The 20,220-nt window shown below is 40.6% G+C and overlaps 1 protein-coding gene across 3 annotated transcripts in view; it reads right to left on the reverse strand.

Annotated features, from left to right (window-relative positions):
- The window catches only part of GRID1 (glutamate ionotropic receptor delta type subunit 1), a 767,244-nt gene that overhangs the window by 185,154 nt on the left and 561,870 nt on the right, over nt 1-20,220 (reverse strand). The window contains exon 1 of one of the 3 annotated variants that reach the window (XM_047425122.1): nt 6,749-6,854. The exons of 1 other annotated variant lie outside the window; for it this stretch is intronic. The gene's annotated coding sequence lies outside the window, so the exon portion shown is untranslated. Of the gene's footprint in view, nt 1-6,408; nt 6,724-6,748; nt 6,855-20,220 lie in introns of those variants that run through there. One more of the 3 variants, XM_047425123.1, reaches the window with a different exon arrangement.

Below are 20,220 nucleotides of genomic sequence, written 5' to 3' on the forward strand. Positions count from 1 at the left end.
GTCCAGAAGTTCTGGGCTTTTGAATGGATCTAGAGGCTGGGTGGGATTTGAAGGTTGTCTGCTTTAAGGACGAGGTGTGCATGCTCTATGTGAGCGAAAATAAATGAAACATTTGGTAAACACAAGGGCTAACTATGGAATAGTGTTTTCACTGGTTATCAAGATTCCTTTTTTTTCTCTGAGCACACAATTGGACTGCATTTTCAGCCTCACTTTCCTGTCCCCATGGCCATGTGACTGAGTTCTGCTCAATGAGATGTGACAGGTGACACTTCTAAGTCTGGCTACACAATTGCAGAGGAGATCCCCGATGCTCTCCCTTGTATGTAGATAGCATAATGTCACCCAGCATGGCTTCTGAACCAGTCATTTGATCTGGGGCCTGGCCTGACTGAGAGGCGCATGCACATGCACACACTTGTGCACCCTAGCAATCAGGAACACTCATTTTGGATTTTACACGAATGAGAAATAAACTGGAACGGGATGGAAATGCTTTTAAACTTACAGGCTAAATATTCAGGTAAGGAATTCACTATGCTGGTCTCTGAACACTCCAAACCTTCACTGAAATTCTGCTGTTGCAGCAGCCCTGTGTTAGAAGCTCCTTTACAAATCAAAGGAAAAGAGTTTGGTTCCACAGTGGTTCAGAGCAAAGCAGAGGAAACAGACCCACAGCAGGAAGCAAAATAATCATAAGATGAATTCCACGGACGCGGAAAGAGACAAGAAAAGTGGGGACTAGGAAGGGGCTTCCCTGAGAATGACCACAGCTCTGCCGTGGCAGGCTTTGGGTTCCCCTCCATAAGCTGGATGAAATCTCAAGCTGTTTTTAAATATTGAAGGGATCATGACTTCTGGAGTCTAAGGCTTCTAGGCTAGACTGAAATATCTGTCTCCTCCAGTCGCCAAGGACAGGCACTGACTTCCTTTTTCAGTGTTCCAGGGACCTAGTAAATTCAGTAAAGCAGCCTCATTGGACTTCATGGTGAAGCCCCGGTAATAAATGGTTTACACCCAACTTTACCACCACAGCCATCTCCACCCCCAGACTCCCAAACCTGAAATCAGGAACTTTATGTGACTCAGGATAAAACCAAAGACAGATTGGCTCTCCTCCACCAGAAGAACAGGCAACAGCAGCCCAAAGTGCATTAAACAAATGCACACACACACATACCCCCACACCCACACACTACACACACCCCACAGACACACACACATCACACGCACACACCACATACACACACGTGTACATACCATACCCACACACTACACAGACACACACACGTACACATACTATACACATACACATACACATGCACATACCACAGACACATACACACCATATACATACATATGCACACACAATCTCTAGCCCAGCTACATCATGCTGTATAAAATGAATTTTTTTCATGATATTCCCCCAAGTAGTTATCTTTCCAAATTACAGAGGCAGTGAGACCTGATTCATGAAGGGAAAGCTGCCTGAATCAATAGCCAGCCTAAGTGACACGATATGATTTTAGTGTGATTTCTACATCATTCACCAAGCACTCATTAGGCACCAACCACACACCAGACACTGCACTTGGCATCTGAGAAACTGGGCGCTGAGGGCATGATCCCTGTTCCCAAAAGGGTTTGTAGCAGCTGCCATGCTGGCTCTAGGATTCAAGATAACCTGTTCCGAGGGAAGTCACTAAACTCTAGCATTGATGTGACAACCCCTGCTCTTTCCTGGTTGCTCAGTGGTCCACCCCCTGCAGGCATGCCGGACTCCACAGGGCAGCAGGGTGCCTCAGGAGGGCAGCAAAGGGCTGGAGAGGAGCACATTGGAACCACGTGGGCCCGCAAGGCATAGCTTTCTCCCCGACATCCCTCCCACCCTGCTGCCTCACCCAGGGGCTTATTTCTATTGGCAATCTCAGTAGTGCACATCCACATTTAGATAAGCGGCACTAAAATAAAATGGACTGTAATTATTGTTATAGATTACAGTAATTACAGATGGGAAAGGGCCGATTAGATTAGCATGCCCCACCCCCCGCCAGGACCCGGCTGATAGGAAGGAGATTTGTGCAGAAGGCAATGAACCTGCTGCGAGTGTTGGGTGTCACTATGGCCTCCCAGGGCCCAGGCTGCAAAGGGCAGGGCGTGGAGGAGGGGTGGTGGGAGGGAGAAGCTTTCAACCTGAAAATAAACCAGCCATTAAGAAATGGGGCCTCTCTCCAGCCTGCCTGGAGGTCACACCTGTGAGAGCTGGGGGCAGAGCCATGGCTGGGGCTTGCCCCAGGGCTCCCCCTCTGCCTCCCAGCTGCCATCCACCATCTCCCATCAATGCCTTGCAGCCCTGGTTAGAGCACAGCACCCATGGAAGACGACTGTGACATTGAGTGAGTTACTTATACACTCTCTGAGCCTTGTTCCCATTGGTAGCTGAAGAGACCATTCCCATTCATGCAGTGTGGTGGTGAGATCACAGACATAGTGAATCCAGGACAGTCCTGGAAGGGTTTGGTAAATGTGCCTGCCCCTGCCCTGGCCACTCCCAGGTATCCAGTTGGGCCTACTGGTGCTGACATCCTCATTGCCTGGATCTGAACACTCTGTCCTCAGGTCCATCTTGGCCATGCACTCTGCTTTTTCCTCTGAGTCTGCTGTCCACCTGGACCCAGTTCATAAGAGGTCCTGTGGGTGAAGCTAGCGGCCTGAGTAGCTCCTGCCATGTCCTGGGGCTGGGCACCCACCTCCCTGCTGGATTTGAAAAATGTAGGCCTCATTCCTCTCACTCATCCCTCCCACAGGAACTGGAGCTCTGCTTTGAATCCTGGGAGGGAACAACAAGGGGCTGATGTCGTGGGTGTCTCCTGCCCAGCCAGCTCCATTTCCCTTCCAAGAGCCTGCCCAGCTCTGTGACATCCACTGCTTCTGAGACACACAGGACCACCCACTCGTGTGGACCACAGTGGAGCCAGGTAAATCCTCAGCTCAGCACACTGCCCAGTTGCATCCCCACCATCACCCAGCCGGCCTAAATGGGTGGGTCTGCTGCCAAGCCCACCCCGCCTTGCCCCTCTCTGCTGCTGTGCCCTGCTGTCATCTGACAGCCAGGGGCCCCCACACCACCAGCCACTCCCTCTCTCCGGTTTCTTTCTACTCCCGATGCTTCTGCTCCTGGGACTGAGAAGGTCCCCAGTGGCTCACAGAATCCATTTCCAAATCCCTCCCCAGGGTCTGGCCCTGGTTCCGCTCTTTGCTCTTGTCTCCTGTTACCCCTGCAAAATACTGAGCACATCACAAGGATCTGCTAACTCATCGGTCACCCTCTGGAGACTATAAACTTCACAAAAAAAAAAAGAAAAGAAAAGAAAAAGAAGTTATTTTGCCTTTTAATTACCCCTTAGCAGAATGTCTGACACACAGCAGACACCAATTAAGAGCTGATGAATGAGGGGGAAAAAAAATCAGGAATTATTGACTGCCTAGATGCTTGCCAGCCTTTTCCTTTCATGGTTTGCTCTTTCTCTGTGGGAGAAACTTTTCTTATAAAACATGGCCAAGGCAGGGAGGCGCAGTGAGCCTGGCCAGAAGAGGCTCACGGTTGTCCGCAGTCCATGCTCCCAAAGCACACTTTGGAAGCCCCTCTATTCCTACTTAGCACTTAATTATTATGTTTAGGTGTGTTCTTTCTTATGGTCTTGTCTCCCCTAAAGAGTGGGGTCCCCATTAAAGCAGGGATGAGTCTGTCTGCCCACGGTCTTATCTGTAACATCAACCAATGTGGCTGGCCCACAGTGGGGCCAGTGAAGTTTTCTTGGCCAACCTCATGAATTTACTCCACAGTGACAGGCAAACCCTAATTGTCCCACACATAAGTCATTACCCACAGACTTTTTCAGGCCTGAGTAGAGGTCTGGGAAGTCTCGTCATCTTCTGGGTCACTGATTTATTCTTCCGTTAGGAAAGTCTTGCACTGTGAAATGGGACCTGTTTGCCTCCTCACTGTGGCTAGTTGGAGGTGCACAGGCACATATGGAGTGTCTGGAGCTGACCTCTAGCAACTAATCAAGTCCTTCGCAGATGAGTTGCTGAGCACCAGACTGCACCAGCCAGGAGGGCTTTCAGCTGCTTTGGAGATGTCAGCCCAAGTTAGGACTTGGCTGAGAAATAAAACTAAGCTAGAGAACTCGGGGTCAGTGGGAGGTAGGGTGGGTACATGCATTTGTATACTTAGCTTTCCACCAGTTTCATCTTGCATCTCTGCCCTCATTTTCTCTTTGCCCTAATTTCCCCCATTTCTTGATTAAGAGGGAAAAAAAACAAAAGATACCTCCCATTGTACATTAAGTGTTTCTGTAAACTGTCAGAAATCCTTTTCGGGAAGGAGGCAGAATATAAATAAGTAAATATAAATAAATAAATGAGCTTTGTCTTCTTCCCCCAGGGTGCCCCCTCTGCTTGGATTCAGGTCATCTACATGTCTATTTATGATCTATTTTCAAATTTCAGGATTGTGACTGTGTAAGCAGGAACCACAGAGCTGGCTCTGGAGCCAAGACACCTGCCAAAGCTGACACTGCACAGAGTACCGCCATCCGTGTGCAGGCTGGTGCCCACCCAGAGGGCCCTGGGGAAGATGCCAGAGCAGCCGCAGTGTGGAGAGGACCTGTGAGCACTCCAGACTGGGCAGCACTATCCAGGAGAATCATGGATAATATAGAGGTGTCTCTCTCCCTGGGTCTCAGCTTGAATTTATAGAACATGGCAGCTTGGAAGAAAGACCACCTCTTAGGGTGAAAATGGGTCTCAAAGCTCCCTGTGCAGTGCCCAGATCCAAGTATGCTTCCTATTATTAAACAGCCCCTCTGGTGACACAGGCAGGCTTCAGAGGATGCCCTTTCAGCTGTAGCTTTATGAATTCCTTTGCCACAATTAAAGCAGCAAACACTTTCAGGTTTCACAGCTGAGAGGAAGGAACCAGGCTGGCTTCAGAACTGCCCATGGATGGGACAATCCCCCAGGAACCCAGGAGATTTAGGGGCCTCACAGTCAGGGTAGCAGAGGCCAAGAGCAGGGGGTGGGTCCTGAACATCCCCACACTGTGGCACTGTGATCTCATTCAATGCAAACCTACAGTCCAAACACAAGTGCAGTTTGCAAGTCTGAGTGATCAGGCCCTGGGACCCTCTGGCTTCCCCCAGGCTGAAGAGCCCCAAGTTCTGCAGTGGCAGCACCCGCCCTCATGGCTCTTGGCATCCACACCTGCTCTTCCATCTCCGGAGAGCCCTCTCCCTTTTCCTGACTCTGCCTCTGGCCTCAGCTTAGATTTACTTTGTCTGGAAGCTTTTCCCAGTGGGCAATTCATCCTCCTCCAGCCAGGCTGGGACCACTGCTGCATGTTCCTGGGTCCACCCACCTCTCCTATCACAGCGCTCCAGCATGACTGAGCCTGTCCACCAAAGCGGGTGAGGGCCAGCCCCAGATGTGGGAGGACAAGGCTGTGTTTCCCTTCGTCCCCTGTCATTCCCCAGCACCTGAATCCATGACTGGCAGATACCAGGAACTCAATAAATATAGACGGAACAAGAGAATGATTAAATGAGATGACACAGAGGCTGCCAAGCCCCAGCAGTTTGTCACTAGGCAATTGTCCTCAGGGGACCTGGCTCCACACCCAGAGGCCATTTCAGGCCTTGGGAAAGGGAAACTGGAAAGAAACAAACAAGGTCTGCATCTGTGAGGAGACTGCAGGACAGGCAGATGATGAAGGAGATTCAGAGTGGGGCAAAAGGATGTTTCTATCAAAGGAAGGTCCTGTCTGGGCAGAGGGAGTGGGGGGAAGGGTGTGGAGTTCAGGCCATGTCAGTATGGGGCACCAGGGGATGCTGGGGTCACTAGGTTTGGGGCAGGCCCTGTCCTGAGTCAGACCAGGAGCCTCCTGGCAGGGAGCAGCCAGGCCCTTGGTCCCCTCGCCTTCTGTCTGGGTCAGGTGCATATGAGAATGGTCACCTCCCTGCTCTATGATTGGGCATCTGAGACAGAGAACAGCAGTGGCTGACTGTGCAGGGCCACCCGGCTTCTCAACCACCCGCTCCTCACAACCTCTCAAGTGCCTTGACCAAGCCCTTGTCCTGGCTGCACAGGACCCTCTCTCCCCAGCTCCTCTGCTCTTTAGAGACCAGGCACAGCCCCGCTCTCTCTGAGCAGAGTAGAGAAACTTGCTGGGATTTGGTTCTAGCCTTCCTGAGGGCCTGGGGGCAACACACTCTACTGCCTCCATGGTTATCTACTCCCCTTCTAATCCTGCCTTTCCCAGAGACAACGAGTGACTTCATCCCTAGCGATGGCCACCCATGGTGACAGAAGCACACCAGACAGGCAGTGACACCCAATATCGATACCCACCTGGCAGCTCAGGTCCGAGCAGAACACAGATGTCCTCAGATAAGAGCATTTCAGGGAGCCCACAGACGACGTGACTGAGTCCAGGTTGGCCCCCAAATCCAACAGGAGGCCAAGCAAGGCAGAAACTGTGTTGTGGTTTCCAGCCACACCCAGGCCATGAAAGATGCCCCATGGCGAGATGGAGCACAGGACCTGAAGGCAGAGGCCAAAACCCTGACTGGCGCAATGCAGATCTTAGAAGAATTTTCTGAAAGTTCCCTTCCATTTTGAATCCTGAAAATTATGGAGAGATACACATCCAGGACAAAGTGAATCAAAAACTTGGAAAGAGAGAACTCACCAATTCTCACAGAAGCCAAGGACGGCCCCAGCAAGCTCCTGACCCTGGTCCCCAGTCCCTCCCTACACTTTCTGAAACAGGGAGCCAGCTCTCTTTGAAGGTGAATGATAACCAGAAAGAAAGTGACAATATATATATGAACAGAATGTCCCCAAATCATGAGTAAGGGAGGGAGAAGCCAGCATGGGGAGAAAAGCAGATAAAGAAAATGTAACAATCGATCACAAGGAATTATCTCTTAGGGGAAAAAAGATTAATAGTTCAGGCAAATATTCTCCCCAGTCTCAAAAAAGTTACAGAGAACATGGTCTCTTGAAGGAAAAAGAAATCTAAGAAGAGATACAAGAGTTCAAAGAAGAGATTATAAAACAACAGACAGAGATGAAAAGCAAATAGTTCAGCTTAGGGAAGAGACAAAGCCAGGGGACCCTGGGCTTTTGTGCAGGGGGCATAGGGAGAGGGCTGGGCTGTGGTCCAATGGGGAAGATGCAGTGTCAGAAATAAGAGAAGCAGCTGAGTCCCTGGGGCCCCCAGGCAGGAGGCCAGGGAGCCAGTCCAAAAGAGTGTCCTCACCTTAGGTTCTGGAAGCCTAAGTGTATTCATGAGCTAGTGCATAACTTAAGTTATCTACCCAAGCTGGCCAAACCACAGAGCATGGCTTTCCCCAAATCCTCCTGCCACAGGCCTGGGACCTCAGCCTCCCTGAAACCATCATCTACACCATTGAAGGATTATGCCTCAACTGCCAGTGCCACCAGAGATCCGCCCTGATGCTCGAAGCTCCTGACGGTGGCAGCAGTCGCAGCCACAGCAGCAGGAAGAAACAAGTTGTAGCTGTCAGCTCTAAAATGCAGACAGTGTTGTCCCCATCTCTGGATGATGCCACAGCACTTGGGGCCTCAAATAAATCCTGTATTCATATTTCCACCAGTGGAGGGAGCCCTGGCGAGGTGCCTTTCAATATTTTTAAAATGATTTTCACTCTTGGCTGCACTTCATAAGTCATCAGACACTGGAAGCCAGAATCCTCTTTCTTGCTGGAATGATTTGTTCTCTGGCAGGATATAGGGTTTATGACTCTGGAGGAATCCAGCTTGAGATCTGAGCTGAGAGGTGCCGAAGGCCTCAGGATCCTGGTCTCTCTCTTTCCACTCCTCACAATGCTGGCTAAATGAAGTGACTGCTGCAGCTCTGTCCAAGCACCCAGATCCATGGGGCAGGTTCAAAGGCAGGGCCACTCCAGACCTCTCAGGAAGCTGTGTTCTTCCTCTCAAGCTCGAAGCCTCTTCCTCCTGGTATCCCAGTGGAATGATGGAAATGACACCCAGAGTCCTGCAGGGAGTAGGCCACAATGACCCTTATTCTGAGTTCCCGTCAGAGTACTTACAGGGCTCTGAGAAGGTGGGCCAGCAGAGCAGACAGAGAAGTGTCAGCAGGAGCACTTGCCTGTCACAATGATGGCAGTGAGGAAGGCATGAAACATTTCAGATTAAGTCAGATGCCTACTCCGATGTCATCAGTACCTGCTTCAGGGCTCTGCCACACCCTTGTCCCATCCCTCCCTTAGCTTTTTCATGATACAACTTCTGGCAAGTGCCACATATTAGCTCCAGAGTGCAGGCATGCCTCCTTTCTGGAGCTCAACACTCTCGATGGGCTTTGAAGCCTTTCCACGTCCAATTTCCATCTTCCTCTCCCAAAGGGTTCCATGATCCAGCCATGCGAAATCCACTGCCTCAACCAGAAGCAACTCCTGGCACTTCCATGTGCACTCCTTGAGTGGCATCCTGCAGGGACTCTGCTGGTGCATCTTCTGCTGGATCCTTAGCCTGCCCCCACCTAGCAGCTGCTGTCCATCCAGCAGCACAGGTGTGCTCTCCGCAATCAAGCTGCACTTGAACCTCCACTAAGCAATCACTTTCTCTTCTGGAGTCTCTTACCCAGCTCCTCTTACATGCATTGTCTGTCAGTGATCTCAATTTTAAGCTCTTGGAGACAAAGACCATATTTCTTACTCATAACTTTATCTGCATAACCCAGCCCAGGCCTGGAAGAAGGTCAGGAAAGACATGACTGGAGGAATCCAGTTCTGCCCTTGGACCAACAGCTATCATGTGAGTTTTCCAGCCTCTTCAGGGTCTGATGGTCTCTGCAGGGCTTCACCATTTGGCATCTCTGCTACGCTCACTGATAGTAACATTTACAAGGTACGGCACATACAAAATACTCCACAAATGATAGCTATTACTACCATGGTAAAGGTAATGAAAACTATATGAAAAAATAAAAGCATTATTATAGTGAGAATCAATCAACAGTGGGAAGGAAAACTCACTGGTCTTAGGTTGAATGATTTAACCTGGCATTTTCTAAAATGAACTCTGCAGAGCATTCCTGGGATAGTCCTGGGTCCTACCAGGAATGACAACAAGAACAAAAGCCCTGCATTAAATGAATTTAGGAAGAAAAACTGGAAACAACAGAATTAAACAGATTTCTTTACTACAGACTTTTAATATGCTAATGTGTATTGTGAATCATGATAAGATAGATTTAACATGCAGCATTTCCCATACTTAGTTCTCTCCGGGGTCTTTCCTTCAAGAAGCATCTCCTTGAAGGACAGCATCTCCGAGCACACTTTTGGAAATGCTGAATTAATCTCTCTGTCAGAACAGGTGTTTCAATGGATTGTTTTTACCCAAATGAAGGCTGTAGATTTTCCACTGCTGAGGTTATTTGGTTAGCCTCTACCCAGCCTGCCATAATGATTTAAATATCAACTCTGTTATCCATCATTTTAGCTGCTTAATATGATCAGTAACCTAATCATTTATATGATTTATAACATAGGACAAAAACAAGCACAGCTATTTCCGTCCCTGAGATTGAATCTCAGAGCATCGGTGCTAAAGAGAAAATGTGTGTCAGGCAGTGAATGTTTTCAGGATCATGTTCACAATAAAGTCAATAATGAATTTTATAAGTGTGTTTCTAATCATGCTCTTGAATGAAAGCCAGTGACATCACACCAAAAATATTTGATTAAATGGATCTTCACAGAGGAAAGCAATTCTCCACTGGAAGAATCTTGCTGATTATAAACGTTAGTGTCCAAAGGATTGACAGATTGAATAGCTGTCAGGTAATCTACTAAAAGTGTTGTTTCTCTCAATCTACCTTTGATGGGGGTTAAGTAATGGCAATGGCAAATTCAAAGTTTTACTTCTAAGCCAGTGCCTGCGGTGCAGCCAGTAGTATTTACCACTGGGTGCTAATAGACCCAAGTGATGTAAAGGCAGCTGATGTGGAGATAAGACCCTGCATTTGCCTCCTGTAATCATAAGACAGTATAGCCATGCCCTTGAGGTCAAACACTGATGTAGAAGTGTGAAGCTGACATACTGCCAAGTGATTGCTTTTCCTGCCTGAAAGACACAGCAAATTCAAGGTGGATTACTTACCAACCTCTTGCACTATTTACATAGGTCTCCAGTTGAAAATGGCAGATGACACATTCTCCCCCAACTTCTAACTAAATATTTATAAAGACACAGAAATGATGAAAATATAGAAAAAAGATGAAGACAATACTGACAGTCATCCCACTGTAAATATTAGGAATTTCCCTTGAATATAGGTAGATGGATATGGATCGAGAAATATAATCACTGGACTACCTATGCTTTTGTTCAAAAGACAGGACAGCCTCGCCACTCTGAATCACCACAGAAGGATATTCTAACATCATTCATTCCTTCTTTGCTTGTTCTTGAAATTGGAGGCCCAAGGTTTATGTCAAATTGAATAGTACATAGCAATTCCTCTACTGTGTGCTTCCTGTTCCTGGGGCAGCCAGACCATTTTCTGCATCTCCCCAAACATATGACAGCAAAAGATTCTAAAAGGTGTTCTGCAGCATGTCAGTCTTACAAGACGCACCTCAGAGAGCTTCATCTAGTCCTATCTCAAAAAGCCACAGTCATCAAAGGCTCTCAGAAGCCATTTAGTAAACAATCCTGTAATGATTTTGTTTAATTCAATATTTCTTAAATGCACTTGAATACAAGGCATTTTTATTTTTCATTTATCATCTATACACATCCTGAAGAACTAGTGTTCCCTGAAACATATTTTCAGAAAATGCTCTAAATTAATTTAGGGAAAACAATTACCAGGAAACAGGAAGACAGAAAACAGGAAGTGGAGGAGAAAGGAGACAGGCAACGGCACGTCGAATCCTGGCACCCATAATGCCCACCAGCAAAGCACATTTGGCCAAGACAGATTACAAAGAATCTCAACATCTTACAGCAGGGCTTGCAGTTGCTTGCTGAGCAATCTAGAGAAAGTGACCATGGGTAGAACAATGCACACAACAGTAAACAACATCTTCCAAATGATTCAGAGGACATGTTTATAATGAAACTGTTATGAAGAACTGAAGGAAGAAAACAGACTGAGATGGAGAGTCACAGGAAGAGACAGAAAAAATGACAAGCTGAGCTTAAAAGGGGAGCTGGGGAGTTAAGGGAGGGTTGCAAACAAAACCAAACCTCTAATCCCAGCATTGGAATTGACGAAGAAAAGACTGGATCAGTCATGGGAAGCCTTCTCTTCCTGACAATGTGAAAGGAATGGTCAGAGATAGCAATGACAAGGACAAGGGGAATGGTGTGGAGAGAATAGAGAATAAAGATCAAAGCTGGAATCACAGATAATTCTGGGAAAACTAATGCACAAACCAGAAAACCCACAAAACTTTGACAGGCTCAAAGAAGACACCATTGGAGAAATACTTTTGAATTTCAAAATAATCAACTGTAAGCCAAAGGGACTTATCACACTCTAAACAAAGTTCTTAAAATAAACCTAGACATATTGTGATTAAAATATTAATTGGACAAAGAATACATACTATAACAAATTCTTACAGAGAAAAAATGGTATTAACTAAAAATCTGCTTTATTTCAGACCTTCCATTTTATACCCTAGAAACAACAACAGAAAGGAGTAAATGTCTCCAACTTATGTAATGCCACAAGAAGTGCATTCCGGACTAAGAAGCCCATTGCAAGATATAAAAGGCTCAGAAATAATCAAAAGTGGCTTGCTTGGAAAAACAGCGTGAATATATAATCTAGCCACTCTGAAAATTAAGAGATCTAGATGGGCAAATCATGGTAGAAAAGCAATGACTTTGAACACTGAAATAATTTAAGCTCATAGTTAAAATGATCTAACTCAAAAAAAAAAAAGAGCAAATAACCTTTCAGAACAATTTGACATCAGACTTTTCAAGAGCAACAGAAGCATTAGTTTCAATAAGACAATGGAGTAAGGTATTTTAAGGCATTTTAAGTAAAAGAACATTAAATCTGAAATTTTATATCCAGACAAATTGCCTTTCAAACGTCATAAAAATATTTTCAGACATACAAGGAAGGCTTCATTGGTTTTGTCTAACAATGACCCATTTTAGAAAGACTTTGTGATAAAGTATCCAAATAAGAAAAGAAACAAACCTAACAAATGCTGCAGGAGATACATGAAGTAGGAGTGATAAAATACCTGGAAAATTTTATTTTGTCTTTTAAAAGGCTAAGAGCACTCCCAAATGGAAAGGATAAAGTGTATATATAAGAAACCAAAATGGGAATGAAAGAGAATAGCAGGATGATATGGTATGAAGCTGTTAAATTTCTTATTATTGAAAAAGAGTTTTTTAAAAAACCTCAAAACACTGGATAATTTAAATCAAAATTTCAAATTTCCTTTTTTTTTAATTTCAACTTTTATTTTTAGATATATGGGGTATGTGTGCAGGTTTGTTACATGGGTATTGAGCTCACTACTCGGGTACTGAGTATAGTACACAATTGTTGGTTTTTCAATTCACATCCTCTTCACCACCTACCAACTCTAGTAGTCCACAGTGTCTATTATTTATTTCTGTACTTATTTTTATTTTATTTTATTTATTTACTTTTTTGAGACCAAGTTTTGCTCTTATTGCCCAGGCTGGAGTGCAATGGTGCAATCTCAGCTCACTGCAACCTCCACCTCCCGTGTTCAAGTGATTCTCCTGCCTCAGCCTCCTGAGCAGCTGGGATTACAGGCATATGCCACCACACCCACTGGGGGCTAAATCTGTATTTTTTTTTTTTTTTTTTTTTAGTAGAGATGGGGTTTCTCCATGTTGGTCAGGCTGGTCTCTAACTCCCAACCTCAGGTGATCCACCCGCCTTGGCCTCTCAGAGTGCTGGGATTACGGTGTGAGCCACCACGCCCAGCCCACAGTGTCTATTACAACACATGTTTCTTTCCATCTGTGCTCAATGTTTAGCTCCCACTTATACATGAGAATATGCAGTATTTGGTTTTCTGTTCCTGTGTTAGTTCACTTAGCATTATAGCCTCCAGCTTCATCCATATTGTTGCAAATGACATGATTTCATTCTTTTTTATAGTTGCATAGCATTCCATGGCCAATGAAATACTTTTTAGTGGTGCATAGTATTCCACAGTATATACATATACCACGTTTATCCAATCCACCATTGATGGGTACCTGGTTGATTCCATGTCTTTTCTGTTGTGAATACATGGTGATGACCATATGAGTACGTGTCTTTTGAGTACAATGATCTATTTTCCTTTGCGTATATACCCAGCAATGGGATTGCTGAGTTGAATGGTAGCTCTATTTTAAGTTCTTAACAATCACAATAAATATTATTGTCAGTTTGAAGGCAGTGATTGGAAAAAATATCTGCTATGTCTTCTTTGCAAATTTTGCTTTAAGGAGGCTGAGGCTTTAAGAGTGAAGGTAATAAGAAGAGATATGCAAAGCAATTCTAATAAAAAGAAAAACTAAGTCACTATCAGACAATATAGAAATTAAGGCAAAACAGTATAGAGAATATATAGACAGTAGTGGAATTGTCGGATTATATGGTAGTTCTATTTGTAGTTTTTTGAGGAAACACCAAACTGTTTTCCATAGTGGTTGTACTATTTACCTTTCCACCAACAGGGTAAAATAATTTCACTTTCTACTCATCCTCACCAGCATTTGTTATGTTTTTTTTGTAATAGCCATTCTAACTGGAGTGAGGTGATATCTCACTATGGTTTTGATTTGCATTTCCCTGGTGATTAGTGATGAGCATTTTTCATATACATACTGTCTCTTTGCATATCTTCTGAGAAGTTCATATTAAGATCTCTTGTTCATTTTTAAATCAGATTTTTTTTTGTTATTGAGTTGTTGAGCTTCTTGTATATTCTGCATATTAACCCCTTGTCAGATGCATAGTTTATAAATATTTATTTTCTCCTATTCTGCAGGTTGTCTCTTCACTGTTGATTGTTTCCTTTGCTGTGCAGCTTTTTAGTTTGATTTAATCTCATTAGTCTATTTTTGTATTTGTTGTCTTTTTTTTGAGGTCTTACATAAAAAGTTATTGCCTAGACCAATGTCATGAAGTGTTTCTCCCATATTTTTTTCTGGTAGTTTCATAGTTTGGGGGTCTAACATTTTAGTATTTAATCTATTTTGAGTTGATTTTTATAAGAGATAAGGGTCTATTTTCATTCTTCTGCATGTAGATATTCAGGTTTTCCAGCATCATTATTGAGAAGACTACTTTTTCTAATGTCTGCTCTTGGCACCTTTATGAAAACCAGTTGGCTGTAAATGTGTGTATTTATTTCTGGGCTCTCTCTTTTGTTTAATTGGTCTACATGTCCATGTCTACATTGGTACCAACCTGTTTGGTTACTATTGCTTTGGGGTATACTTTGAAGTCAGAAAGTGTAATGCCTCCAGCTTTGTTCTTTTTGTTTAAGATTGCTTTTGCTATCTGGGATCTTTTGTAGCTCCATACAAAGTTTAGAACTGTTTTCTTCTATATATGAAAAATGATTATGTTGAAGGAATATCTGCACTCCTATGTTTATCTATGCTTATTACAACACTACTCACAATAACTAAGATATAGAATCAACCTAAGTGCCTACCAATGGATGAATAGATTTTTAAAATGTGTTATACATACAACACAACATAATATTACTTAGCGATAAAAAAGACTTAAATCTTGTCATTTTCAACAAAATGGATGAACCTAGAGGACATTACGTTAACCCAAATAAGCCAAGCACAGGAAAAATGTCACATGGTCTCACTCGTGGAATCTTAAAAAAGCCAATCTCATAGGAGTAGAGAGTAGAATAGTGGTTACCAAAGTTGGGAGAGTAGTGGGGAGGTGGAGAAGGGCAGAGGTTGTTTATTGGGTATAAAATTAGTTAAAGAGGAGTAATGACTTCTGGTGCTCAGTTGCATAGTAGGGTGACTACAGTTAAAGATAGTGTGTTGTATATTTCAAAATAGCTAGAAGAGGGAAGTTTGAATGTTCTCATCACAAAGAAATGACAAATGTTTGAGGTAATTAATATGCTAATTATGCTGATTTGATTATTATACAATGTATATATGTATCAAAACATCACACTGTACCCTATAAACATGCACAATTATTATGTGTCAATTAAAAGACAAAATTAAAAAGTATAGGGAATATAGAAAATCACTACAGAATGTTGAAAGCATTTAATGAATCAAAAACACATATCTAATTCATGCATGTCTAAACAAGTATGTGCCTAATAAATTAGTCACAAGATATACACATATAGAATTACAAAAAAAAAAACTCTAAAACTCTATTAAGTGAGTAATTTCTAAGGAACTTCCTCATTGGTCAAGCAAACCAATGGCCAAAATTATAGAAGATGTGAACAACACAATTTAATGAGCATATAGTTGCGTATCAGACAATATAAAAACACACATCATTCTCAGGCATTTATAATACAGTCCCGAAACTGGATTACATACTAAACAAGAACAAACTATGTTCTTAACCAAAGGTTACAAGATAGAAACAAAAACATAAGATATTGTTACATAGAGAAAAATTTTAAAGTACTTGTAAATAACTCCAAGATCATAGAAAAATCCATAATGGATAGTTCAAAACCATCTAGAACTATAACAACAACAAAACCCCAAAACGATGACCACATAGCTAAATTTATAGAATATAGCAAAAGTGGTAATTCGAGGAAAATATTTAACTTCCAATTCTTATATTAGAAGAGAAGCAAAACCTAAGAATCTATAAAGAGAGTAACATTAATTTCAAAAATATACAAGGAAGGAGATAAGGACAGAAATTAACACAATTATTTATTTACTTAATAAATCTTTATATATTACTTTCTATGTGTCAGGCAGCACGAGTGCTTTGCAGTTATTAACTCTTCTAATCATCATAACAACCTATGAGGTGGATATAATTCCCACTTTACAGAGATAGAAACGGAAGCACAGAGAGTTTAAGTAATTAACACAGAACCACACAGCTAGTAATTGCTGGAGCCAGAATCTGGCTACAGAGTTTGAGCTGTTTCGTTAAAATAGAAAGACTCCAATATACATAAAAGTCAATTATTTAAAAAGAATAATAAAATAGGCAAACCTCTGGGATTATTGATTTGGAGAGAGAGAGAAATAAAGAGTGACAACAAACAAACAATATTATGATTTAAAAAGTGACATAATTAACAACAGAGTAAAAACTAAAATATGAGAGAATATTATTAATTCCTTTATGCTAATAACTTTTAGAAGTTAGAAAATTTGTTTGTTAAAGTTAATGTAAAATAATTCAATAAGAAATAAAACATGAAAATTCTGTTAGCTTTTGAAAAAAATTAAAAGAATTAAAGGTTTTCCCACAAAGAAGTTCTTAACATTTTCATAGGCAATTTTTACTAAATTTACAAGATGCATGTTCTTTTTAGAAATATAAGCAAAAGGAGCATACTGTAACTCGTCTTATAAATCCACTATAATTTTGATCTGAAAAGAAATAAAAATTATTCAAGAAGAAAATTTTACAGGACTATTCATTTTATTTGTCAATATAAATGTAAAATGTCTAAATAAAAGTGTTAAAAATCTTTAAAACAAATTCTAAATAACTAAATACAACAGAATTTATGAATTTTGTTAAACAAATTAATAGAGAAAACCCATGTCATCACCTCACAGAGACAAAGAAAACTTTCCATAATATTTAATATCTTATTTATGATAAAATTATATTAGGAATGGAAAGAAAGTGCTTTATTTTGATAAAAGGGATCTACAAAGTACATTTAATAAACATAACCATAAGTGGGAAAATGTAAAGCAACTGCTTTAAAATCAGAACATAAAATGATGTTCAATATTAACAAATCTATTCAACATTATACTACATGTTCTAGAATATACAATTATAGGGAAAAAAACCTAAGAATTAGATATGTGAAATTAAGAGATATTATTTTCAGATTACGTGTTTATATATAAAACAAACAAAAATAATCTTGAGAAAAACTATTAGCTATAAGAGATGAATTTAGATAAACAAATATAAAATCTCTCTATAAATGTTACTTGTTTTTCTATACACCAAACAATTAGAGAAAACATCTTTAAAGGACAGCATTTACAATAGCAAATAAATCTAACAAAAATGTGCAACATCTGTAAGAGGAAGTTATAAAAATTACTGAAAGTCATTAAAGAATTTTAAAATGAACTGTTAACCCATGATCAAGGAAAACAAGACATAATATGGTAAGGATATCAACTGTCGCTGAAATTGTTCTATACAGCCAAAGAAATGCTAATCAAAAAAGCAACATTTCACAAGGAACTTGGAGGGAATAAAGAGCCAAGAATAGCTAAGACATTTCTGAAGAAGAACTGGGAGAGAGAACCCAACTTAACAGATAATATGATTTATATGATTTATTATTAAGCCATAGAAATTAAGATAGTTCAGTATTGGTACAGTGATAGATCAACTGACCATCACAATAAAATAGAGAACCCAGAAGCAGACCCACATATATATGAATATGAAAATTTGCCTATAGAAAACAGGAGGCATGATAAATCATTAGGCAAAGGACTACTGGATAAATAGAACTGTGGTAAAATGCTTATTCGTAACCTTTTAAAAATGAAATTGTATGCCAACTCATATTATGCACAAAATTTATCTCCACATAGATTCAGATCTTATCTTTAAAAGGAAAAAAAATTAAATTTTAATAGGAAGAACTCCTAATCCTGGTCATAACAGAGGAACTGGTACTAGCACTTCCACCAATAAATAACTTAAAAGCAGAAATAAATATACAAAAAAAAACTGTTTTCAAACACTGGACAAGAGGCAGGGCAGAACTGTGACCGTTGAGAGAAGAGAGACAGATGAAGAGAGTCCTGCAATCTCACCAGAACTCCAAGCATCCAAGCAGAATAAACACACACACACACACACACACACACACACACACACACACACACACACCAAGGAACATTCAAATCAAATTGCTTATTTGCAGGATCTAAAAATCAAAACAATTGAACTCATGGAGACAGAGAGTAATTGGTACTAGCACTTCCACCATAAATAAAAACAGGAATAAATATACAATAAAAATTGTTTTCCAACACTGGACAAGAGGTTGGTTGCCAGAAGGGTGGTTACCAGAGGCTGGGAAGGGTAGTTGGAGGGTAAGTGGAAGGTGGGGATGGTTAATGGGTACAAAACATATAGTTAAAAGAATGAGTAAGAGCTATTATTTGATAGCAAAACAGTGTGACTATAGACAATAATAACTTAACTGTATATTTAAAAATAACTAAAAGAGTATAATTGGATTGATTTGTAACACAAAAGATAAATGTTTGAGAGGATGGATACATTCCCCATGATGTAATTATTTCACAGTGCATGCCTGTATCAAAACATCTCATGTATCCTATAAATATATACACCTATTATGTACCCACTAAAAATACGATTAATTTATTTTTAAAAACCCCACATACAAACTTAACCTAACTGACATTTATGGAACACCACATCCAACAACTTCAGTGCAAATGAACTACTCACCTAGATTAACTATTGTTTTTCTATCAGACAAGTCTCAATAACTTTAAAACAACTAAAATCAAGCAGAAAATATTCTGTGACCAAAACAAAATTAATTAATAAATTAATAACAAAAGCATTTTCAAAAAAAAAGCTCTAAATAAAGAAATTTAAGCAACATATGTGAAAATAACCAATTGGTCAAAAAACTGTAATGAAAATTAGAAAATATATTTTTAGATTTTAATTTTTGTGGGTACATGGTAAGTGTATATATTTGTGGGTTACATCAGATGTTTTGATACAAGCATCAATACATAATAATCACATCAGAGTCAATGGGGTATCCATCACCTCACACATTTATACTTTTTGTTATATTTTGAGCTAAAAAATAATGCACACTCAAATAGCAAAGTTTATGGGACACAGTCAAAGCAGTATTTATTTAAAAAGTTATAGTTCTGAATATTTATATTTTTTTAAAAGAGAAAGGTATACAGTCACTAACCCAAGCTTTCAATTAAGGAGCTAAGAAGAACAAAGTAAGCACAAAATAAATAGAATTAATGGAACACTAAATAGGGGATATCAATGAAATTGAAAAAAAACAGAAAATATATAAAGACAAAAATTCATTCTTGACAGTAACAATAAAAATTGATAAAACCCTATTTAGACTAGTTAAGGAAGAAAAAAATGAAAAAAAAGCATAAATTACCCATCTAGGGAGTAAAAGACAGGGTATCACTACTGATTCTACGAACATGAAAATGATAATAAAAGACTGCTATAAATAATATGCCAATGAATTTGAAAAAATAAAGTGAAAAAAAAAGTTTTGAGATCCAAATGACCAAAACTGACATTAGAAGAACTAAGAATTCTAAATAGACCTGTAACAATTAAAGATATTGAATTCATAATTCAAAAGCCTCATACAAAGAAAATACAGGTCTACATGGCTTTACACAACCATATGGGAACAAACAATACCAATTTCACACAAACAACTTCAGACAGAACAGGGGAAAGGGTACTTCCTAACTCATTTTATATGACCAATGTTATACTCATTCAAAATCAAAGACATTACAAGAAAAAAATCATAGATTAATACCCTTCATCATAATAAATCTAATTCACTTATATATAAAAAAGATATAGCATTATGACTATGTACGTATTTGTCATAGAATTGCAAGGTTGTTTTACCTTTCAAAAAAAATCAGTCAATATAATTCACTCCTCATTAACAGAATAAGGCAACAAATTACCATAACAATCACAGTAAAAATTGTATTACATTCAAAGCTGAATTATGGTAAATGCCTCAGCAACAAAAAAACTGGATAAAGCCCATGTTCAAAAAAACCTTCATTTCACAACATGCTTAATAATAAAACCTGAATACTTTCTAATTAAGTTTGGGGACAAGGATGTCAGCTCTTACCACATCTTTCCAACAT

Source organism: Homo sapiens, chromosome 10, assembly GCF_000001405.40.
Source record: "Homo sapiens chromosome 10, GRCh38.p14 Primary Assembly".
Lineage (NCBI taxonomy): Eukaryota > Metazoa > Chordata > Mammalia > Primates > Hominidae > Homo > Homo sapiens.